General features: G+C 37.1%; 1 protein-coding gene across 14 annotated transcripts in view; it reads right to left on the reverse strand.

Moving 5' to 3' along the window:
- The window catches only part of TENM1 (teneurin transmembrane protein 1), an 828,410-nt gene that overhangs the window by 161,955 nt on the left and 640,483 nt on the right, over positions 1-25,972 (reverse strand). For 12 of the 14 annotated variants that reach the window (XM_017029210.3, XM_017029211.3, XM_017029214.3 and 9 more), the window contains 3 exons: positions 25,892-25,915; positions 23,814-23,960; positions 9,017-9,233 (listed from right to left, as the gene is read on the reverse strand). In XM_017029210.3, coding sequence (XP_016884699.1) covers positions 9,017-9,233; positions 23,814-23,960; positions 25,892-25,915 — 388 coding nt within the window. The remainder of the gene's footprint in view (positions 1-9,016; positions 9,234-23,813; positions 23,961-25,891; positions 25,916-25,972) is intronic. The other 2 variants (XM_047441760.1, XM_011531236.4) reach the window with 1 other exon arrangement.

Here is a 25,972-nt window from a genome sequence, read left to right on the forward strand (position 1 = left end):
TAAAATATTAGAAAATACCTATTCATGCTGAGATAAGTTGTAGGTAGCTACTGGTATCATTAATTATAACTGTTAAGCATCTCAGAACAACTGAGTTTCAAAGTATCATAAATCATCAGTTGAAACAGCCTTTTGAAGATCTGTGTTCTGATTTTTCATTCTTCTTTGCCCAAGAGCATTTGCAAAGAAGTGAAAGTCTCACATTGTTTCTTTTTGGTACCTTTAGGTGTTGACTGCTGATTTCAGGAGACAGTCAGCACTATAAATCTGGGAACCTTCTGCACTTTGTAATTTTTTAAATGTGTTTTGAACATGTGTTTTCTGAATTTTAGCATTAGACAGTATAGTCTGAAAATCAAGAGATCCCATCTTCAGTAACACCTTTCACATGAAGATCAAAGTGCTTTATTAGGAAGCAGCAACAACCGTACTTCCCAATTAGGACAACAACTTCAGAGGTGATAAGCAAGGGAGATTGCTCAGGAAAAGCAACGGGGACAGACAAACAGAATAACAAGTAACCACGGCCAATCCAAAACACACTGGAATTCTTTTTCCAAACGTGAGCAGGTCATCTGCAGTGCCTTCCTTTAGAAAGGAAGGTGAACAGAAGGTATATTTGAGGATGTTGATGCTCTATAAAGAGCTTACCCGATTCTTAGTCTATTCAATTTATTCAGCAATTGTCGCACTGTGTATTTATCAACCCCTAGTTGTGTACTTGGTGTAATGTTTTTCATGTTCCTAGATTAAAAATACCCAAAAATCTGCCATTAGCAAGTAGACTTAGAGGTCTTTAACAAATAGATTCATGAAAAAGCTAAACGCAAGGCATATGGATTCAAATTTGTACCTCAGTGAAATTACAAATGTTTATGTTGTCGACCTTCTGGGGTTACTCGTAGATAGACAAAACTGCAACATGTTAATTCTGTGAATGCTTGAATACTGTAATAGCACTATATTTCCTTTTAAATATTTTAAAATATAGGCTTATCTTTTAAAAATAATTCCAAATCAGTAAGTGGTTTCTCAATATTTGATTTATTCTAGGATTAACACTAATTGATGAAGATCTGCTATTTTTTTCTGTCATGCATGAGTTAAGTGGTCTAAGGCTGTTACTGATTTCTCTTTCCAGGTCCTAGTCAGTTGGTCTGAGGTATTCAAATTTTCTCAATGTCCTCCTGGAGGGCAGGCACCTCATCCATTTATCGGTAAAACCCAGTAACCAATATGCAGTAATTCCTTGACAAAGGTTTGTTTTACTTTTCCATTGCACATTATGTCACAGAATTTTGATTCAACAGGCCCCTAAAAGTCAACAGCAGGCTCCAGTTTCTGTTAAAATCTATTGCATAGGGGTCCAGGTGGCAAGAAACATTTATACCAAGATCATCTAATATACAGATGAATGCTATTCAGGGTTCTGCTCTAGTGTCACCTCCTCAGAGAGGTGTCCCTGGGCCACTCTGTGTAAAATGGTCCTTCTCTGTCCCTAACTTTTATCTCACCTTACAGTATTTATACCTTCCTGACATTTACTTTTTTCATTGTTTGCCTCCCTCACTAGACTGTATGGGGAAGAGATTTTGTCCACTATAACCCAGAGCTTAGAAGAGTACCTATCACTAAATGAAGAAATGAACCAAGTAAACATTATAATGTTCATACATTTAAAGAGTGAAATGATTAATCTTCCCCCAATAGGGATTGTCTTGAAAGAAACTGTAGGATCTATTGTTTTAAATGACTCCAAAGTGTGGTTAATGGGGATTTTTTTTTCATTGTGCTAAATGGGATTTCTTTTGGATGATTGTTTTTTTTTTCCTGGAATTTATGTTTGGTACACACATTTCAAATTGTAGAGAAAATTATTTATAGCCCCAAATGTCAAAGGATGATGAAACTGTTTGCATATAGTTAAGCTGTTCACTGTCCAAATAAGCTTTGTATTTTTCTTGCAAGTCATCAATAGTCTCCAGTGTGTGTCAATTTTAGCAGCTCTTCATGCTCACCCGAGCCAATTAGTCCCATCTCTGGATTATTGCTGAAAACTTCCAGGTCAGTTTCACTTCTATAGTTGTTTAATGACTTTGTCTAATTTGCCAGAATACTTCTTGTCTTACAGGGCTACCTGTCTTCCCCATCAAAACAGTTGAATTTGGACTCCTGAGCTGATGAACTCCAAGCTCCCTTAGAAATCTGATGTTCCATGATCCATAGACTTACTGCAATTCATAATTATTTTAATTATTTATGTATTTACTTGATGTTTTGACTGCTTCTGCCACTACAATGTAAACTCTGAATAAGGGGACTGTGTTTCTTTTGTGTATCTCCATCTGCACAGTTCCTGGCATAAAGTGAGTACTCAATAAATGTTGTTGTATGAATGAGTGAATGCATATCCTTCATCACTCTTGAAAAATGAATTGATATTAGGGTATTATATTACATTAAGAATGGCAGAAGAATCTGGTATCTCTTCTATCTCTTTCTGAGGTAGTAAAGTCCTCAGTTTCTCTGGAAATACCAATATTGTAATAAAATATATACTTAAAACAGTAATTAGTATCTGTCAATTATGGTTATTCTTAAGTCTCAGTCTTTATTCAAGATCAGCAGCTTCTGCAGCGATGACCATCTTCCTGCAACCTTCCCTCGATCTCAGTCTTGGGTCAATAATTTGTTTTGCCATTCACAGAATCTCAAATGGTATACATTCCCAGCTCAACTGAGGGCAGAACGCATGTTACATTAAACAAGTTATGATGAGTAATTATGGCTGTCACCAGGTATCATGACTAATCGGGAACAAGAATCAAGAATGTATTATTGAGTAGGGTATAGTAAAGGAGGATGAAGGCTTAGGTAAATAAAAAGTTTGCCAAAATTCCATGTTCAAGGCATTTGAAGTACTTCAGTTTGTTTTAGGGCACTTCTCTTTGGTTTTCTTGCGAGACAGAATAATGATGCACACCAAAGTGAGCCAGTTAGCAGCAGTCTTCCTGCTGACCTCCTGATATTGCTCCTTATATTCCACTTTTCTCTTAGCACTAAATTTTGATTATCTAACCCATTGAAAACAGAATTATTGATGCATACACAAAATCATAAATGATGTCAATTATTGGCAGGTTGTGACAGTGATGGAATATATCACAAGTTTTAAAAAAGAATAATTATTTTGCTATTGTTATATTATCACTATATCTTTCATGAATTTTGTTTCTCTGCTATTTGGAGAACTGTAATCTTACCTTTAGGCTGGTTCTACATTTGAGAATTGGATTATTTAAGGTCCTAATATCATTTGTGTGTTCTAGGCAACCAAAATGAGTTTTTCATTAGCAAATATGAGAAGAGCATGATATAGTTTGTATGTTTGTCCCCGTCCAAATTTCATGTTGAATTATAATCCCCAGTATTGGAGATGGGGCCTGGTTAGAGGTGACTGGATCATGGGGATGGATTTCTCGTGAATGGTTTAGCACCACCTCTTGGTGCTGTCATCACAAGAGTGAGTGAGTTCTCATGAGGTCTGGCTGTTTAAAAGTGTTTGTCACCTCCTTCTCTCTTTCTCGCTCTTGCTTTCACCATGTGACATGCCTATTGCCCTATCACCTTCAACCATGATTGAAAGCTTCCCGAGGCATCACCAGAAGCTGAGCAGATGCCAGCATCATGCTTCCTGTAAAGCCTGCAGGACTGTGAGCCAATTAAACCTCTTTTCTTTATAAATTACCCAGTCTCCAGTATTTCTTTATAGCAATGTGAGAATGACCTAATACAGAGCACTCACACTTCAAAATCATAACTAAGCTACTCACTCACTTGTTTTTCACCTACTTCATGCCAAATACTGTGTTAGGATCTGGGGATACAGTGGTATCATAGATTAAAGGTGGCCAAAAATTATTTGATACTGCTCTCATCAAGAGGTGGGATCTATGTCCTTCCCCTTGAATCTAGGCAAGCTCTGTGACTGCTTTGACCAACTGTGTATGACACAAGTGACACTGTGACAATTTCTGGACCCAGGTCTTAAGAGACTGGCATTTTCCATTTCCTGTCTCTTGGAACACTCACTCTTGGAGCCCTAGGCTACCATATAAGAGCTCTGACAAACCTAAGGCTAGCTACCATGCCAGTAGGAGGCCCAAGTAGTCAAATAGAGAGGCTACCTGTAGAGAGAAGGATTTCCATCTGCTGTCCAGCTGTTCCAGCCCCCAGTTATTTGAGTCATCCCAGCTGAGGCTTCCAACATCATGGAGCAGAGATAAGCCATGCTAGCCATGCCTTATCTGAATGTCTGACCCATGGACACATGAAATAGGATGATACTGAATTGTTTTAATCCATTACTTGGAACAATTTGCTACATAGCAGTAGATATTCAAAACAAGAAGAGAACAAATCGGACTTGGTCTTTGTCCTTACAGAACTTAAGATTTAGAAATGATGACAATTCAGAGCTAACATTGTACATCCTAGGGTGAACCAAGAAACTGAAATGCAGCAATTCCAAAGAAAGCTAGAAGAAACCCATCATCTTGTTTCATTTTTTTTTTTTTTTGCTTGTTAATATTGCTATTATGTGCCTAGTGCTGTACTAAATTTGGTCCTAATTCTAGAAATTTTCAATTAAGGGTAGGCATTCCACCAGAGTGGGCAGAAGAGGTCAACACAATTGATTCAGCAGGACTGTTGCAAGATTTTAGATCTTTAAGCTGTTCTTAAAATTTACTCTAAGTTATAGACATAATAATCAAATTCCTGCGAACATACACATTCTTCTCATAAAATGTGGACTTTTTTCCTACTTTGGTGGGACCGGGATTATCTGATATAATGGGTGGGATGTTAAGACATCATAGGTTAAGATCCACTGGCCTAGAGGAGTTTATTAGCCTAAGGTGTGAGGCAGAGTGTATACCAACTTATTCATGAGATATGCAAAGGTACTCCAGCGAACTAAGGGGAGAAATATTGTTCCATTAATGTGATTTCTAGATCATGTTCAGTCATCTTTTTCCTCTTTTTAAACCACTATAATAAAAGTTCAAAAATTAAGTGAAATGATAATGTTGGGTATTTAAAGGCTCTCAGGGAAAAAGATCAGAAAGAAAAACAAACACTTAAGATCTTTCCTTGGAAAGCTGCAGAAACTGTATAGACCAGAAATCACAAACTCAAATGCCAGCAAGGCCAGGCATGACATTGAAAGTGAAGGACGTGAGTCAAGTGAGTGGTGAGCTAGAAAGGCATGCCATGTCCCATCCAGAGGGGCAGCTGGCCCTTAAGCGTCAGACCACCTATGCCGTGCCCATGCATCCTAGGTTGCCCATGCATCCCAAGCTGTGTAAATTTTCTGGAGAAGGAAGATATTCTGATTTTTATGTTGGATCTCCTAATTTCTAAATGTCAGGACAAACAAAATACATCTGTGGGCTGATTTTAAGCAACCTCTGATATGGACATCTGACACGGATTGACGTGAGGATCAGCCTCTCATGGTTACAAAACAGACAGATGAGTTTGGTTAGACCTTGCTGTCAGCCGCTGCACTAACCCTGGTAAGATTTTGTTTTTTTAAATGCACTTCTCCACTAGTGATGGCGAGTGAAATGTCTGGCTTTGCAAATTACTGCTGTCATTTAGTTTAATGTACTCCTGCTTTTACATATTTATAAAAACCTTTTACATTATTAATAGTGATTAAATGCTTAGACACTAAAGATCAATAATGCTTCTGTTCACCTATTTACATTTTTAAAAAGTAATAAGTCGTACAGGGCTCGTAGAATATGTGGTTTACTTTGCAGTCATGTTTGGAGTAGTTGAAGAAAACAAACTCGAGCTACAGGATATAAATTGCATTTAGGAAAAAAATGGCAACTCAGTTGAGTTTGCCCAAGATCTTCACCATGGGCAGGGTGCACGTTCACATTGTTGTTACACCATCACACGGCACAGAACATACATATTCCATGGGCTTTCACATGTGGGTGCAGCTAACTCAAAACAAGAAGGTCTGGTCTCTCTTGGTTGCACAAGGATAAACAATTTTTTAGCTTTTGTGTGTCCTTGCAACACTTAGTCACCTGTGTGCCACCATCTTTAGCTCCAAAGGTTTCTGATGGTGGCAACATTCAGCAGCAAATCAGCTGTGTGGGTCGCATTTTGCCGGTAGGCAAACAAGCCCCTTCAAAATGCTTTCTTCACCCGCCTACCCAGCTCTCTCTCTCAATTATGCAGCAAAAACTAAAAAGCAAAGTGGTTTGTTCACCTGATTATGGCACATAAGTGTCCTAGATCTGCCTGAGGAGAGCAATCCTACAGTCCGAGATGTATAAGAGCCATAAGTATTTCACATTCAGCTAGCCCAGCTTTCTAAGTAGCCAAAATGGCCCAGCATAGTGGTTTAGAGACTAGGCTGTCAGCACCAGTTCAAATTCTGGGTTCGAAATCTGACTGACACTCATTAATTGTGACCCTGAACAAGTCATTTACTGGGCATCTCTGTTCTTATTTCCTCACTGACAAATGGAGATAGTAATAGTACCTACCATATAGAGTTTTTGTGAGGATTAAATAACACATGTAAAAGTTTAGCATGAGATCTTTGACATAACAAATGCCCAAGGACAATTTACATGTATCAAAAGGTCCATTTCATGAGTCACTCAATTGTGATCTACAAAGAAAAAATTCATTAGCACTGATTTGAAGTTTGTAAATGATGTCACTGAAATGTATTAAATTGAACTGGATTTTTAAAATGTCATTTGGTTTCTAAGTTTCTTGTGTTGACCCAAATACCATTTACCTAGTATAAATTTGGTTCACGTCACCAGGCTTATTTAAGGACCCATTGAAATGGGGCAGCTGTGGCGTAATGGAAAGGTTACAAGAGTTGCTACAATGCAAGCTTTCTGCATGTGTGATTTGGGGCAAGTTATTTAATCTCTCTGAACCTCAGTTTCCTTATATATAAAATGCACCTAATACAAGTATCTACTTTACAGGGATAATGTGAGGATAAAAGGACATAATGTATGTTTGTTTGCTTTGTAAACTAAAAAGTACTATATAGATGTAAGAGACTGTAGCTATTATGATTTATATATATGATCAGAGTTGGACTTATTTTGCCCAAAGATATCCCAAATAAAAATGCATGTGTTGATTTTTTAGAGGAAATAGAATTAGATTGTTTGTCCTCAGCTACTTTCCTCACGAAAAGCCTTTGCCTTTTCTGATAGAATGGATATATTTGTAAGAGCTGAGACCCCTGGATGAAGGAGACCCATCGTTCTGAATTTAAATGTGACTTGCAGAGCCAAATGATAACTTGGAGCATTTTACAAAAGAATGAGGGAAACTCAATCAAACCAGGAGGAGGAGAAGGGCATTAACCACCACAAGAAATAGGTTTATTCACTCTGAGCGGCTGGCAAGTGCTGCTGATGCATGAAGCTAAACCGCAGGGATTTAAGTTTGTCCTCACTTTTCTAAGTTTATTGCTCACATGCTCTGCTCTGGGTCACAATGACTTGTCTCTTGTCTCTCTTAGGTCTTGACTTTCTCCCCTTACTTGAGTTTAGTGAGTCATTTAACACTTCTCCATGTCATGGAGGTTGTTATTTCTTTCACTTCATTTCTTTTTTTTGGATCAACTTTTCTCTATGAGTGAAGAAAGCTACAGAGTTGATGTCTTACCTCTACCTTAAATAGGAAAACAGGGATAATGGTTGCTTTTTGTTCTTTTTGTTCCTCTGGTGTATAATAAATAAGTCTCGACTATCTAAATAATCACTTTGACTATACCACATCTGAAAGTCACTGCAGAGTTGTTATTGAAGCTGGAAGAAATACTTCAAAATGGAGATGACTGAATCTCTTGGAAGAAGGAAAACTTTGACTAGATCCCCTGGCAGAAAAGCCCTTTCTTGTGATTCACTGGCAGTTGGATTTTGGGTTCTGCCAGAGACCTAGAGAGTCAGAACTACACAATAAAAAAAAAATTTTAAACTTTTAAGTTTCAATAACAGTTCTAGTATACAACTGAAGGGAAGGGAGTTGAGAGTTTGAAATTTCCATGCACATCTTATTTTTCCCCTTTTCTACTATGTATAGGTCAAGATGGAGTTGTAATTTTCTTAGATTGTCACTGATATCAATATAAACTCTTGACCAAGTTATTCTTGGGGAATGATAACTCCCACCAGGCTGCAACTGAGGGAGTGGGATGTAGACAGGAGTTCCTGGACAAATACTTTCCATGTTTCTTAAAAATTCCTGTTTGCAACAGTCTACAAAGCCAGTGAAATATTGACTTGTGGAATGCATACAGGAGAACATTTTTGTGTCTGGAAATGTTGACTTTAGTGACTTACCTCTAATGCTAATTAGTAAAATATATCATCGCTGAAGATGAATTAAAGAATAACAGTGAGCAAATTCATGTTATTACACTTCATATAAGTAAGCTTATTTTAAAAAAATTATTTGCCTTATGGGTTGGGCTTTGGTCTGAGGTCTTAAGTGACAATTCATGCATTTGAGCTTTCCCGGAAGACAGATTTTTCACGAGTCTTGCATTTCACACTAGGATGTCAAACTTATTCAACCCTTTCCTATGGAAACATTTTTCATCATGAAATAAAACTTAAAATTTAGTTTTTGAAATTCAAGATTTTTTCAATGAATCAATCCAGAAGCTAAACAATAAATTTGCAAATTATATTTCCCTCCTGTTTTTGTTATTAAAAGCCATATTATATATATACATACACAAACATACACACATAATTTTATGATACAGAATCTCTAGAAATGAGTTTTTTCCTTAATCAGTAAGGGTTTTGGCTTTCCAGAGAAGTCCTAAAAAGAAATGAACGTGGATTATGTGGAATGGGAAGTAACCTGATCCTTAGAAGATATCTTCCTTTCGTAGTTCAGGAAAAACATGACCATTGTTCACTAAGGAATAAAATAAATACATATGTACCTGCTGTCAAATGACACCTCAGGAGGAATGACATGAGTACTGTCCTTGCCAATGAGGAATTTGATTCGATCATAAAAAAGTCTTGAAGTGTGCTGAGAGAAGAGAGTTTGGCTTTGCTGAATGAGGTCAAGAGGATCTGGTGAGCCCTGGCAGAGAGGACTTATATAACAGTTGCTTTGTTGACAACAGTCAGGATCCACACAGTCGGTTAAACCATCTGGAAATAAAACCCAAAACCAATATTGATTATTTAGCTTCAAGAGAAAAATATAGTTTAAAATATACATAAATGGAGAAAATTCTAAAATATAGCCAAAGATAATCAACCTTGTTTTGAGTTCAGAATTTGTTAAATTCACATTTTTCATGAATTATCACTCACTCTGAGTTCACATGGCACCTCAGAGAAATTCAAAGTATTTTGTTCATAAATTTTTCTTTCCTGAATTATCCAGCATTTATCAGCTGGAGAATATAGTTTATATAGTTATTGTTTAGAGTTTGGGTAAACAATTCTATTACATATCACTGTTTAGAAATTTCTTCTTCCTCAGTGAGACCATTCTTTCCGAATGCGATGATTTCTTGTAAGTACACCTAGTACATCTATGAGCACACAATTAACAAGTACTTGCTACCTGAATTTGTATTTTTTTAAAAAATCCTCCCAATATTGTTGTCTACTGGTAATGCTCAAAATAGAGGTTGGGATTCTCATGGTGAAAAAAGATATTTCGAGCAATGATTTTCAAATCTGTTGTCAATTACCTAGGGAGCTTATAAAATATGCATATTCTTGAGCTCCACCTACTGACTCAGAATTTTTACAGAGCCCAGGATTATGCATACTTAATCTGGGTGATTCTGAAGCATACTAAAGTTGCAGAACCAGTTTTTTAAGGAATTTATAGAAGGAACTAGAGTTAACATGCCTAACAGCAGTTTTTTGATGCAATTACTATTCTATTTTATTTATTTTTTGAGACGGAGTCTCTCTCTGTCGCCCAGGCTGGAGTGCAGTGGCACAATCTCGGCTCACTGCAAGTTCTGCCTCCCGGGTTCACGCCATTCTCCTGCCTCAGCCTCCCAAGTAGCTGGGACCACAGGCGCCCGCCAACACACCCGGCTAATTTTTTGTATTTTTAGTAGAGACGGGGTTTCACCGTGTTAGCCAGGATGGTGTCCATCTCCTGACCTCTTGATCCGCCCACCTCGGCCTCCCAAAGTGCTGGGATTACAGGCGTGAGCAACCGCACCCAGCCGATGCAATTACTACCAAATCTGACATACATGAATGCGATGACTTTCTCTGTTTCATTTTCTGGCCCTTCACCATTTGCTGTAGACTGCTGAATCCACTGTTGTACCACAAATAAAACTCATACAAAGGCTTTGTTCTTTGGTAGAGAAATGATATAGGGAACAGGGATTGTGAGGCAGGGAGACCACTGAGAATCTAACAGGTGCAAAATACTGTTAGGTGCTTGCAGAGGTGAAGAGATAAAAATACCCTTTTCCTGTTTTCAAGAGCTCTGGGCTTAGTAGGAGAAAGAGATATGTAAACAGCTAACTCTTATACTAGCAAAAATGTAAGAAGTGCTTTAAGAGAGTTACATGCAAAGAGAAGGGGTTGGAGTGATTAACTGAGCATATGGACACTTCATTCCATGCCCCATAAGCAAAAAAATTAAAGTTCTTCCCAGGTCCTTAAAGAAGGCAAGTGGCTCTAATTCAGTTGTTTAACAAGGGTAAATATAAAGACACTAATCTTCTTGGCTTGCCTTGGAATAGGAAGGTTCGGATGGATCACCGTCTCCTTAAGGCTGCTGCTGCAGCAAGTTACTAGCACTGATTTCCTGCAGCTCTTTTGCTTGCTCTCTCTCCCCCACTTGTCTGCTCCCGTGGAGTTAGAGGCGGGTGTACCACAGCTGGGGGCAATGAAAGCGAGGAACACCAAGAGAGTAGACGTTTGGAACAGCAGCCCTAGGGCACCCAGGAAATATTTTTCCCCACATGTGGTCCTTTCAAATTCCCTGTACTATAGACACTACTTTGATTTAAAATGCAGTTTGCTTTTTTTCTTGCCTTCCCTGTTTGTTCAATGTGTTTTTGCCCCTGATTTCTATTTCTCTGTATACATATTTTTTTCATTGATGACTTTTTAGTGTGAATTTGTTTCAATAAGAAGTTTCTTTCTGCTTCCCCTTTTCCCATCATTCAGCAAATTATATTAACAGATTTTTTAGGGATTTTAGATACCACTACCACCTCTCCCTCCAATACGCTGTTCTCAGCCTCTTATTAGCACATTATCTCTTTACTCTGCTAATTAAACATCTGGATGCGCTGAAAAGCTGGCAAAAATATCAGGCTGATTAAGAGAGTTCTCTGATGTCTGGAATTGGTGCATAATGCACTAAACAATGAAAAACTGCTTTTCAAATGGGCAGTCACTTTTACATTTTTATTGAATACTGAATTTGTTATTGAGCTAATATATGTGGAAGTATCCAGTGTCATGCCTGGCAAATATTAACAAATACACTAGTAATAATCACATTGGGCAGTCACAGGTTTCAACCTGTCAACCACAAAATTCCGACTTATTTTTGAAAATAAATAGATTTTAAATAAATATTAATGCCAAAAACGATCTTAAAAAAAAACTAAAAAAATCTAAACATAGAACCAATTCATAATTGGGACTCACATTCTCATCTAGTAATGTTCTATACATTCCAAGCTAATGTTTCATATTTAATCATTGCCTATTATGTAGGGCTGACCCTTTAAGACCTCTGTTTTCTGAGACATCAGCAAGGCTCCTGTTGAGTCTAGAAAGACCTCAGGCAAGCCGATCAATAATGGCATGCAAACCCCGTATTATAATTTGTAGGTAAGTCCAGCACACGGGCAAAGATGAACTTACCAATTATCACATTGACTAACACCCCATATAGTACGTCTAGACTGTTGCAAAGAAGTGCAAATGACAATCACACTGAATATGTGCCTTGTTTTTTGGCTATTAACAGTTTTTTTTTTTTTTTCTAATTGTTCAGAATTGGAAGCTGTGGCACCCTACTGACAGCCAAGCTCAGCGTCGTCAGATATGGGCATGTCAAATATTAACTGATTTTTACTTTTAGGGCCTGTTCTCTTCAAAGGAATAAAAATACTAGGTAGCTAAAAAAGAGGGAGGTTACACTGACTTGAAGGACTATCTATGGCATTCATTGATCCTAGCTTTGCCAACCAGTTTGGGACTTTGCCAGTTGGCTCAATTGGTGTTGATGAAGCACTGGTTTCTTTGCTGCGTGATCAAGTCATCACTAGTAAACTTATGCCTACTAATTGTATGCCCTTGGCTGAAAGGGGAAATGGATGAAGGAATATGAGTGATACAGAGGAAACCCATACTTTCTAATCCTGAAAATGAATTTACAAATATATATCCTTTAGAGACAGCACTTGTATTATCACCTTGATAATAATGGGTGGTTAATTCATGGTAGGTTATACAAAAGGATTTGAAAACACGTACAGATTAGTTAATATTTGCCAGGCACTAGGTACATCCACGTATATTATCTCAACAAATCCCTTCAACAAGCCTGTTAGGTTGATATTCTCATCCCTATATTACAAACAAAGAAGGGGAGGCTAAATGTAGTTGCAGTGGGAAGTAACCTGGGAGTCATATGAACACCTAGTGTTATGCATGCAAATCACACATTCACATCATCATCTAAACAGTGTGTATTACTAGTACTGATCTAGGCTGTAGGACTTCCAAGTGCATGACTATACATAGGTATTTAGAGCACATGAAGTGGTTAAGGTAAAAAACAAAACAAAAGAAAACAAAAACAGACTACTTTGGCTCTATTTTTTTTTTTTTTTGAGACGGACTTTTGCTCTGTCGCCCAGGCTGGAGTGCAGTGGCGTGATCTCTGCTCACTGCAACCTCTGTGTCCTGGGTTCAAGTGATTCTCCTGCCTCAGCCTCCCGAGTACCTGGGATTACAGGCACCTGCCACCATGCCCAGCTAACTTTTTGTATTTTTAGTAGAGATGGGGCTTCACCATGTTGGCCAGGCTGGTCTCAAACTCCTGGCCTCAGGTGATCAAACTGCCTTGGCCTCCCAAACTGTTGGGATTACAGGCGTAAGCCACCGGGCCAGCCCTGCTTTGGCTCTAAGCTTAACGTTGCCACTTACAATCTGTAGAATCCTAGACAAGTCAGTTCCTCATTTGTAAGATGTAAATAACAATAATACTCACTCTATAAGTTGTTGTAAGTATCACATGCTATAATAAAGATGAGATTGGGTGCACTCAGGGTGGTATAGCCATAGACTGGAGAACATTAGGCTAAGTGAAATAAGTCAGTCATAGAAGGGAAAATACTCCATGATTGCTCTTATATGAGGCATCTAAGATAGTCAAACATATAGAAGTAGACAACCGCATGGTGGTTACTTGGGGATTGGTTATGGGGATATGAGGAGTTGTTTAATGGGTATAAAGTCACAGTTATAAGATGAGCAAGTTCTCGTACAACATAGTACTTATAGTTAATAATGAGGTATTGTGCAGTTAACAATTTTTTAAGAGGGTAGACCTCATGTTAAGTGTTCTTAACACACACACACCCACACACACACACACACACACACACATACACACACACTCCACCCCAGAACAAAGGGACAAGAAGAAAACCGTTGGATGTAATGGATATGTTTATTACCTTGTTTGTGGTGATGGTAACATGAGTTTATACATATGTGTAAACTGACCAAATTATTTACATTTATTATGTTCAGGTTTTGTACACCATTTATACCTCAATAAAGCTGGAAAGGTAATCATAATAAGCTTACTATCTAGTACATAACCAGCACTTGATAAATGTTAGCTGTTGTTATTATATCAAATTCTAAAACATACAGACTGCAAAGAATCTAAGGATAGAGTCTTAGGGGTAGATGTCAATGGTTTGCAATGGCAGCTTAAAGCATTCAACCCCTTTTATTGAAGTTGCCTTATCACTGGCCAGAGGGTAATTGATTTCTGTGTAGCACGTTCCAGTTGTTGGAATGTGTTCATTTTATGAACTATGCTTGGTTAGGTTGTCAGGTAGGTAGGATCTTATGTGACTCTGAGTAGACAAACACTAATACTACAGAAACTTTTCATTCATTGGATTTGATTGATTCAGAATTTGTCACCATTTGGACAGGGGTTGGATTTAAGCTTAAGCTTTTCAGCATCTGTAGAACAGTGGGTCTGCTGAGCAAATTAATAGTGAAAATAAAATGGAAGGGCTGATCATTCCAATGACTCAGTAAAGCAAAGTCTTCTTAGGCATTTTAGAAAGCCATAAGCAATGAACTAACTATAAATCATTCATAACTCTTTACTAAAGCAGGCCTCCTACTAGGCACTCCTGTTAGCTTAGTTGTTGCCCTTACATGTATTGAAGGTAATAGGACTGTATTTCCTCTGGAAATAGTCTATAATTCATATTCTTCATTTCTTCAGGCTGATTTTCACCCCTGGATTTACTGTATTAGAAAAAAGAAAGTGAGAGAGACTCAAGTGCACTCAGGATTGGCCTGCCCAAATCATTATTGTTGCTATAACCACATACCATTAAACTTTTCTGGGTTGGGAAAATACGTTGTTTGTATGCCACTAATGTTCATGTCCTCCTGGTGCCTACCTGCCATTGATGGCTTTTCATATCACTTAGAATAAAAGCCTAAGTCTGAACAATGACTTATTACCTCACAGTCTGATTCTTTGCCATCTCCCTCTTACCTCTCAGATCTTACCTCTTCTGATCCACCCAATCTCCTTCCCACTCCTCTGGCTGTTCCTTAATTTCCCAGGCAATGTTATCAGGACGTTTGCACACACTATTCCTATGCCTGGAATGTTCTTCTCCCTGGTATCAACATGGCTTAACCTTCACCTCCTTTGGGTCTTTATTCAAATGTCATCTTCTTAGTGAGATTTTCTCTGGCTACCTTATTTAAAATTTCCCCGTCCTACACTCCCTGTCCTTCCTTTTCCTGCCTTATTTTAATCTTAATTTTTTTAATTTTAAATTTTTGTGGGTACATAGTAGGTGTATATATTTATGGGGTACTTGAGATATTTTGATACAGGCATGCAATGTATAATAATCTCATCATGAAAGATGGGGTATCTATCCCCTCAAGCATTTATCCTTTGTGTTACAAACAATCCAATTATACTATTTTAGGTATTTTAAAATGCACAATTAAATTATTGACTGTAGTCACCCTGTTGTGCTATCAAATAGTATGTCTTGGCCAGGTGTGGTGGCTCACGCCTGTAATCTCAGCACTTTGGGAGACTGAGGGGGGGGGTGGATCACCTGAGGTCAGGAGTTCGAGACCAGCCTGGCCTATATGATGAAACCCTGTCTCTACTAAAAATACAATAATTAGCCGGGCGTGGTGGTGGGCATCTGTAATCCCAGCTACTCGGGAGACTGAGGCAGGAGAATCACTTGAACCCAGGAGGCAGAGGTTGCAGTGAGCTGAGATAGCACCATTGCACTCCAGCCTGGGCAACAAGAGTGAAACTCCATCTCAAAAAAAAAAAAAAAGTAGGTCTTATTCATTCTTTCTAACTATCTTTTTGCACCATTAACCATCTCCAATTCCCCTTTAAATCCCCATTACCCTTGCCAGCCTTTGGTAACCATCTTGCCTTTAAAAAAAAAAAAAAAAAAAAACAAATTTTCTTCATCACATTTACCACCTTCTATCATAATATGTATTTTTAAAATTTGGTTTAATTTCTGCCTCTTGTAACTAGAATATAAGCTTTATGGAAGCATGAATTTTATCTTTTTTATGCATTGCTATTTCCTCAATGACTAGAACAGTACCTGGCTTAAAGTAAGCATTCAAGGCCCAGCACGGTGGCTTACGCCTGTAATCCCAGCACTTTGGGAGGCCGAGGCAGGCAGATCACTTGATGTCAGGAGTTTGAGACAAGCCTGGCCAACATGGTGAAAACCCATTTCTACTAAAAATACAAAAATTAGCTGGGGGGTGAGGGTGGCATGCACCTATAGTTACAGCTACTTGGGAGGCTCAGGCAGGAGAATAGCTTGAAACCAGGAGGTGGAGGTTGCAGTGAGCCGAGATTGCACCACTGCACTCAAGTCTGGGTGACAGAGCGAGACTCCATCCTCCCCCCCAAAAAATGAACATTCATTATATATTTGAATAATGAATAAATGGATGCCATAAAAGTCCTATTTCTATGACATTTGTAAATGTGCCCAGAGATTAACAAATGTCCAACTAATATATCAAATTGTTATTAACAGATTCTTCATTGATAACACACTTTTATTGCCCACTTTAAATGACTGTATTTCAACTCTTTTCTCATTCATTTTCATCACTGCAAAGTAGACAGATATCAAGTATCAGTAGCCTTAGTTGGTAGATAATGTGATGGGCCCAGTCATACAGTGGTGAACAGTTACAGAGTTGAGATTTTCTACTTTGCAGTTGCATCTGGAGGCACTTGGGCAGTTTAGGCTCTTATAACTAAGTGATGATCCATTAATAAATGGGTTGCTTCAAAATTAAAGGGGTATGGTGAGAAAAGAATAATTAGAAATATGCTTTCTGATGCCAAGTCTTTTGTCTCCAACCAAATCTCAAAAGTAAATGTGAAGATGTCTGCCTCTTAAATAGAGTAAATGTTATAAATTCATTGTTCCTTCTCTTTCATTTTCCTATTTATTAAACACTGAAGCATGCTGGTGCCATTCTAAACATGAGGCTCATTGATCCATGAGCTTGTATGTGTTCATAACTCACCCATGGTGCTGTTTTCTGGATCTAGAAACACTACATCATAAAAGAGGCTTGCAAATAGCTATTGCTCTTAATGAATGGTGACTTGTTATGAAGAATGATTCCTGGAAGATCATTCTCTTTTAGGCAATTAACTTATTGATTTTACCAATGAATATGAATATAGACCACTGGAAGAGTTTATACCAGAGAAGCTTGGACAAACGTGATAAATACTTAAAAGATCAGAGAAAAAAAGGCTGTTTGGATTAAACACTCTTACTCTACATTTTTTGAGCCTCCTTGAAAATATTTCCACAATATCAGAGACCACTTTCCTTCCTCCATAAGTCGAGTGAATGAAATGGAATCTTTGTATGGTAACTGAAGATCTTGTAAAACTCACAATGTTCTGTATGATCTGGCCCCTGACTACTTTTCTATACTAATCTCTTCCTGACTCATGTTCCAGCCACAAAGACATGCCTTTTACTTTAGAGCCTAGTACATTTCCACCTCAGGGCATATATACATGCTGTTTCCTCTGTCTGGAACGTTTTTCCCCTGACTCATGTGAGGCCTCTCTCACCACCCAGACTAGGTCAGGTCCCCATGCACATTTATAGAATTACACAATTTTAAAATTATAAAATTTTTCTAGCACTCTTCACAGTTGTAAATATATAGCTATGAGGGATCTTCAAAAAGTTCTTGGAAAATGTGTATCATGAGAAAACTATGCAAGGAGTTCAAATTTTTTTTCCACTAAAATAAAGTCATACTAACTTGTTGTAACACATCTGAACAGGATCTAGTTTGAGGCACTAAGAAGGATAAGGCATCATTTTGAAAAGAGTCCCTGTCAGAGCAACATGAATTTTGCTGAAATTGAAGCAAGAACAAACATCAAATTTACGATGAAACTTGGGTGGAAGAATGATGACATCACTGATACTTTATGAAAAGTTAATGGGGACAATGCCCCAAAGAAATCAGCAGTTCACAAATAGATAACTCATTATAAGAAGAGACAAGATGATGCTGAAGATGAAGCCTGCAGCAGCAGGTCATCCACATCAATTTGTGAGGAAAAATTAATCTTGTTTGTGCTCTAATTGAAGAGGATCGATGATGAACAGCAGTAGCAGTTCCGACACCACAGACATCTCAATTGGTTCAGCTTACACAATTCTGACTGAAAAATTAAAGTCAAGCAAATTTTCCACTTGATGAGTACAAAACTGTTACTCCCAGATCAGCAGCAGACAAAAGCAGAGCTTTCAATGGAAATTTTAAATAAATGGGATGAAGATCCCGAAGCATTTTGTTGAAGAATTGTAATAGGAGATGAAATGTGGCTTTACCAGTATGACTCCGAAGACAAAATACAATCAAAACAATGGCTACAAAGAGGTGGACGAGGTCCAGTCAAAGCAAGAATGGACTGGTCAACAGCAGTGGTTATCCCAGCACTTTGGGAGGCTGAGGCAGGCAGATCACTTGATGTCAGGAGTTCGAGATCAGCCTGTCCAACATGGTGAAAACCCATCTCTACTAAAAATACAAAAATTAGTCGGAGGGGCGGGGGTGGCATGCACCTATAGTTCCAGCTACTTGGGAGGCTCAGGCAGGAGAATAGCTTGAACCCAGGAGGCAACAGTTGTTTGGGGTCCTCAAGGCATTTTGTTTGTTGTCTTTTTGGAGGGCCAAAGAACGATAATATCTGCTTATTACGAGAGTGTTTTGAGAAAGTTAGCCAAGGGTTTAGCAGAAAAACACCCAGGAAAGCTTCACCAGAGAGTCCTAATCCACCATGACAATGCTCCTGCTCATTCCTCTCATTAAACAAGGGCAATTTGCAAGAGTTTCAATGGGAAATCATTACGCATTTACCTTACTTACAGTTCTGATTTGCCTCTTTCTAATTTTTTTTTGTTTCCTAATCTTAAAAAATCTTTAAAGGGTACCCATTTTTCTTCAGTTAACAATGTAAAGAAGACTGGTTAAGTTCCCAGGACCCTCAGTTATATCAGGATGGACTCATCCCTTACAAAATTGTCTTGAACTTGATGTAGAAGTAAAGTTTATATTTTTGTTGAGAAATAAAGTTTATATTTTAAAATATTTATATTTCAAGTCTCCCTTTCCATGAGCTTTTTGAAGTCCCTCATATTTGTGTGGATTATTTAATATCTACCTGCCTTGCTAGACCATAAGCTCCATGAAGGCAGAAACTTGTATTGTTTATCATTTTCTCTCCAGTGTCAAGCACAATAGTTAGCAAGAAGTAGTAATGAATTAATGGAAAACCAGGTACTTAATGTGAAATGTTTGGCCTAAAGGTAACATTTGAGTGAAACATTTGGATCATCACTATCCAATATAACTTCTCCTAAAGCTAGGAATGTTCTAGTACTGTGCTGTCTAGTACAGTAGCTACTAGTCTCATGTGGCTACTGAGCACTTGAGATGTGACTAGTGCAGTTGAGATCCTGAATTTTTTTATGTTATTTAAGTTAAATTTAAATACTCACATGTGGCCAGTGGCTACCATACTAGACAGTGTAGATTTTGATGTCTGCAAATATTTAGATATTGGATGGTCTACACATTTAGCTAAACATTATAAAAAAGTTTTACATTTTTACTAAGTCAAATTTATTGTTTTTTTTTCCTATTATGGTTTCTTTTTATGTTTACAAAGTGCTTTCTCATTGTAAGATCTATCACCACTTTTTTTTTTGAATTGTTTGTTTTCTTTTACTTTTAACTCATTAATCCAGTTGAAGTGTTTTTATTTATCTTATTCTTTAGGTATATGGTATGAATTAAAAAATCTAAGGCATTTTTCTTAAGAGTTGTCACAGTTCCGTTTATTTAATAATGCTTATTTTACCCCATTGATTTTTGATGCCAGTTTTATAATATACTAAATTTTGTACTTGGGTGTGTTCTAGAGCTTTTATTCAGTTGCATTAATCTGTCTATTCTCACATCAGTGCCACTTTGCTTTAATTATCATAGCTTTCAAATATGCCTTAATGTCTGATAGTTCTATCTTTCACTATTGTTTGTTTTAGCTATTCTGACTCAGTTAATATAATGTCCAAACTTTTTTTCTGATGTTAATTCATATGTGCATGTAATGTATGGTGATCATATGTAACCAACTCCAAATTAGGACACATGATTAACAAATGAAAATGTGGTCACCATAGTAAGTTTTTTCCTCCAAGTATAGGGTTGTGCATGTGGTAGGTGCTTCTTGATTAAAGAGATGAATGAGGTCAAGACATTTCATAGGTTTGTGACTTCTATAGTAATTAGTTCTTGTATATACAATACATAAGATAGCTTTCCTTTTTTGCACTTAAGAAAAAACATCCAAAGGTTATTTTTTCTCTGTTCTGTTTTTACTGTTCAAGGAGCTTTTAGGTAGTTTCTGGACCAGCGGTGTCACCCACATATTCAATGCAGCCCAATTAGTTACTGAGAATCACAATGCATTGAATCAGAGGGTAACTAAAGTCAAAGCTTCAGGAAGTAGCAGCAATACTAATGAGTATTCAAAGCTGATTAGAATGCAAAAAAATTCCACCATTCTTTAAGTATCAGTTATAATATGGAGTAATCAGGTAGCAGCTACTTGAAGCAAATGCTTGAAAGTGATTTTTTTTGATTGGGAAGATTTCTTAAGAATTACATTTTTAAAATTAGAACTACTTTTTCCCAAAACGGTTCAATTGGTGCTTTCTAATGTAATTAAAACACACACATATACACACATGCACAAACAAGTAGACTAATATTAATATTAAGCAAATATTAATAATTAGTCATATTTAACTAAATGAAACCAGCCATTATGGATAGCTGGAAAGCTGAGACTACCAAATGAAGGGCATTTAATATATTCTCAGGGGTAATATTTGAACAGTATAAAAATGAAATTATTGGTTTAAAATCTTAGTCATGGGGCTTTCAGAGTTTATTCAATCTATCTTTCCATCTCAAAGTAGAACTGAATCTATATTTATCATCAATATCATCTTAATCCTACTATAGGGAAAAATGGTAATCGGAAATCTCAAGGAGCTTTCCCCCCGTTCCCTAAAGAGACGATCATAAAAATATACTGAGCTCATATTAAGGTCTTTGATTTTTAATTTGCATATAGATACATAGTTTTAAGGAATGTTCACAGGTCAATACACGTTCAGTGAAATCTTCTATGTCTTCTGAATCTACATAGACCACAGGCATTGAGAATTGATAATTCATTAATTCATTAATATTTAATTGATCCATTCTTTAAACATTTTGGCTGCCTTGAGATGACCTTGAGGCCATAAAAAATGGTGATAATTAAATATTCAATTATTTTTATTACTTTACTAAGGCAGGAAACATTGGCTCAACCTTAACTGAGCCAGAAATTATAATTGCATAGGTTGTTAATGTGTTTTCTGAGCATAACATTTTAATCAATACATAACTGAGAAATTCCTATTATTATACCAAATCCTTTTTAGAATGAAGCAGACTACCTAGGTTTATATCCAGGACCTATCATTTGCTTACTATGTGATTTTTAACAACTTACTTGACTTCTCTGTGTCTCAGTTTCCTAATTTGTAAAGTAGTGTTAATGGTAGTTCCTGGCCAGGTGCAGTGGCTCACACCTGAAATCCCAGCACTTTCAGAGGCTGAGGCAGACAGATTGCTTGAGCCCAGGAGTTTGAGACGGGCCTGGGCAACATGGTGAAATCCTGTTTCTATTAAAATTATAGAAATTAGCCAGGAGTGGTGGTGTGTGCCTGTAGTCCCAGCTACTCAGGAGGCTAAGGCAGAAGGATTACCTGAGCTCCAGAGGCAGAGGTTGCAGTGAGCTGAGATTGTGCCACTACACTCCAGAATGGGAGACAGAACAAGACCCTGTCTCAAAAAGAAAAAAAAATGTTCCTACATAATGGGGATTAAATGAAATAATTCACATAAGGGGCTCAGCACAGTGCCTGGCACATAGTAAATCCTGAATACAAGTGAGATACTATTATTTTCAACATATTGGGAATATAACTATGGGCAATGGGTCATGCTTAACATGCAACAAGAAAACCATATACAGAATATAATTAGGTGTTTGATTGTATAGTGCATATTATCAACACCATGGGTAATTGAGGAGGTGGATGTCAGAAGTTTCATGGGAGATATGGTTTAAGTTGAGACTTAAATTATGGACAGAGAACAATGGGTGGAGAAGACATGAAGATGTGCCAGGTAAAAGGTATATAATGAAAAAGACAAGAAGGAAAGTGAAGATGAGTCTTAGAGGGCCATAAAAATAAACTAAATAGTTTATCAGTGGATCATTAGATTGAAAACTTCACTCCGGTTTCCAAAACAAGGTTTTCAAGTTATATGGGTAGTAAACAGTCTCTTCAGAAAATAGTCTCTTCTATTTGTGTGTGTGTGTGTGTGTGTGTGTGTGTGTGTGTGTGTGTGTATGTGTGGTGTAGTTTACTATCTTTCAAGTGGCTCACTTGAACTATCTCATTTAATACTTATTACAACCCTATTAGACAGTGTGTGTCTAATTATTCAACCTATCCTTCTGTCTCAAAGTAGAACTGAATCTATATTTATCATCAATATCATCTTAATTCTACTATAGGGAAAAATGGTAATATCATTTAATATCATCAACCCCATTTTAGAAATAAGGAAATGGAAGCACAGAGATATCATAAAACTTGTCCCAAATCATGCAGCTAGTATAAGAGCCAGAGCTAGTATCTGAATCCAGACAGTTTAACTTCAAATCTCTGTGTTCTTAATCACAAAGTTGCCTCCACTTAATTTTGATAAGGTCTTAAAACTTTTAAAGGTTAACTGTTAGCCAGAACAAGTAAAGGAAGAAACTCTTATAATGCAGTTTGGTGCTTAAGCCATGACTGCTACCTTATTAATATAATCCTGCCTCATGTCTGAATTCAAATGACAAGGAATGCAATTGTCTAAGCAGATATAGAAATGTGAAGTGTCAAATTTAATAATATACTTCATTTTAAGCTAATATACAGAAATTCAAACAAAATTTTTTGTTAATTTTATGTTTCCTCGAGTAGAAGGTATGTGGAAAGTGAGGATTTGTTGTTTTAGGCTCACTCAGAGGTGGTTTGGGCAGTTTTGATGTCTGATCATACAGTGTGTTAGATGTTTTGTTGGCTTTCCTAAGAGAAGTGGTAACTCTGAGGTCTTGGAGCCACAGTGGTTTTAAAAAATATCATGCGCAGCTCCTTGATTAAATATTTAAAATTCTACCATAAATTGTCTCGATGCTATGTCCTCTGAAAGGTATAAAGTGCTACTAAAAGGTAGACACACAAGAGGGAGTTCCAAATAACTAACAACAAAGAAAAATATTTTAGCATGTCTAGTGCAAACTATGCTAACATCAAACAACTTGAATAGTGGTATGTTAATTTAATTTGATATGATAAATGCCATGGGTATGGGAGGTAGCATGGTGTAGTAGTTGAGAAAATATGCTCTGAAGTCACATAGCCCTAAATTGGAGACTTGGCTCTGCTACTCTCTAGCTATGTGATTCTGGATAAGTCACTTACTATCCCCACCCAGAGCATTAATTTTCCCATCTACAAGTGGGGAAAATAGTAATACCTATACCTCATAGGGTTATTGTGAGAATTAAATGATACATAACACATGCAAAAAAAATTGGAGTACTGCCTGGTCATAGTAATATTCAATAAGTAATGTCTTCTTAATGTGATTGAGACTAAAAGGTAGCATTACCCTATATAACTCAGTATCATTTATACTAGAGATTCCTAATTTTCACCCTTGGCCAGGTTGATTACCACTGTGCTAGAGGCTGGGCTATTCCTTTCTTACGTGAACATTTTATAAATGACTCACCTCCATCATTGTCCAAGTTATCTCCACAAAGCATTTCCATGACAACATTGCAGCCTGTCCCACTCCAACCCACCTGACACACACAGTGCCAACCATTTTGATCCAGGGTACATCGTCCATTTCCAAAGCAGAGCCCTGGGCAGCCATCTGAAAAGACATCAGAGAGTAACCATCACAGAGACATCAGAATGGGATTGGCCAACAATGATGTATTTGCCTATAGGGAAGCATCTAACCATCTGGGCCCCATTCAGATGAGGTGTTGAATAAATGGAAGAGGAGCTTGCTTGCCTGCAAAACCTTCCCAGGGAACTTGTTATCCCTTACTCTGCAGTGGTTTTCCTTAGAGAGCCAATTAAGCTTTATTAATGCTAACCCCAATTCCCAACCCCTGGTTCATATAGGAAGAAAACTATGGCAGGGGCAAGAATTCTTTTTTTCTTTTCACTAAACATATCTCCTCATCTCAATCAAAACTATACGGATGACACTGTATCTAGTTATGGCCAATATGTTGGGAAAAGATAGCAGTCCCTATGAAGAGAAACTTTCCCTACTACTTCTAGTCTGTGCTGATTTTCCCTTATGATGTATTGCTTCAGGACTTAAGTATGTTGGTATACAGTTCAGACCACACCATTAAGTATTTGTTCATATGGTGCCTTAGAAATGTGCTGTAGTTGCTTTATATTTATTCAGCTTTTCTCTTCAAGATTATTATTCATCTGCGGGCTAACGATTGAAATCTTTACTTCCATGGTATCTCTCTCAAAAGCTTGCATGATATTATGCTTATAACAATAATATTAAATGTTAAATAAGTGTTTATGGAATTAATACATGCCAGATCTAGACTTTCTGAATTATAGAGAACTGGAAAATATCAAGTCAAGAGGAAAGTGTAGCATTTAAATAACTTTTATCCATTGATAAAGCATTAACACTGACAATGGTTCCTCTTTAGACTTTAAATTTCTCAGGGATGCCCTACTCTTTGTACCCGTAGTCTGGAGTTCAGCTCTAGCAAAGGGTAACTTCACATGCGCCACATGCGCAGTGGGCAGATGAATGGAGAAAGCAACTATAATGCTACTGGGTATTTTCCTAGTAGCAACACAGGACCAGACGTGAATTTTACTGGGAATAGCCCAGTCAATATTCATTTCGGTTTCTTTCTTTGAAAGAAAATTCCAAAAGCATAAAGAGCAAAACAAAAAAAAGATTAAAAAATCTGTAGAAGTAACCCAGTGTTCCTTCTAAATAGTTTTCCAAGCAACTATCAACAGACAAGAGGAAGAAAAAATTTAAAAATAAAATGACAGATGGTTGTTAGAAAATATGAAAAGCTTGATGTACGTAATATACTCATGACATGGCATATGATAAACATACATAGGTTTGAGAAGGGAATTTTTGTAGTTCTATTCTAATGGATAGGCAATAGATAATTAAGGTGAAATAAAGAATAATTTGGGACATATTAAACTTCTGAAGCTGAGGTAATGAAAGGCACTAGGATATCTGGCAGAAAAACCCTTGCTGTCTCTGTTAAAGGAAGCTCCTTGGAGGGATGGATGATGGGATACTTCTAGGAGGATAATTCTCCTGCCCCTGTAAGGACTTAGGAGTCCTTGTATATGGACTTGGAGCCATATTGTTATGTTAAAGAGAAAGTTCATCTTCTGAACCAAATTATTTAATAATTATTAAATTATTAAAAATTATTTAATAATTATTAAATTATTAAAAATTATTTAATAATTACCTGTGTAATACACACAGATCCAGACACACACACATACACAGAACTCAATATAAAGACAAGAAAAAGTAGTCCTTAAAACTGCTTATCAGTCCATTCTATACTACGGGAAAAAGTGACTCTTTGATGTTGAAAAAACAAATTACCTTTTAGTGTGACTATTTTAGCATGAAACTGACAACATTATATTTAAATAAGATTGCCAAAAATAAAAACAAACAACACAAATGCCAAAAAACGCTACCCTTTCTTTCTTACATGCATATTTTCTTTTAAAAATATATTTCTGTTATAAAATTAGTGAGAAAAATCTTACCTCGGACAGCATCTAAGTAGTGAGCTAAAAGGGAGGGGAAAAGAGTGATCAAATGAATTTCTGAGAGACTAAAGCTATACA

The sequence above is a fragment of the Homo sapiens genome, chromosome X (assembly GCF_000001405.40).
Source record: "Homo sapiens chromosome X, GRCh38.p14 Primary Assembly".
Classification (NCBI taxonomy): Eukaryota; Metazoa; Chordata; class Mammalia; order Primates; family Hominidae; genus Homo; species Homo sapiens.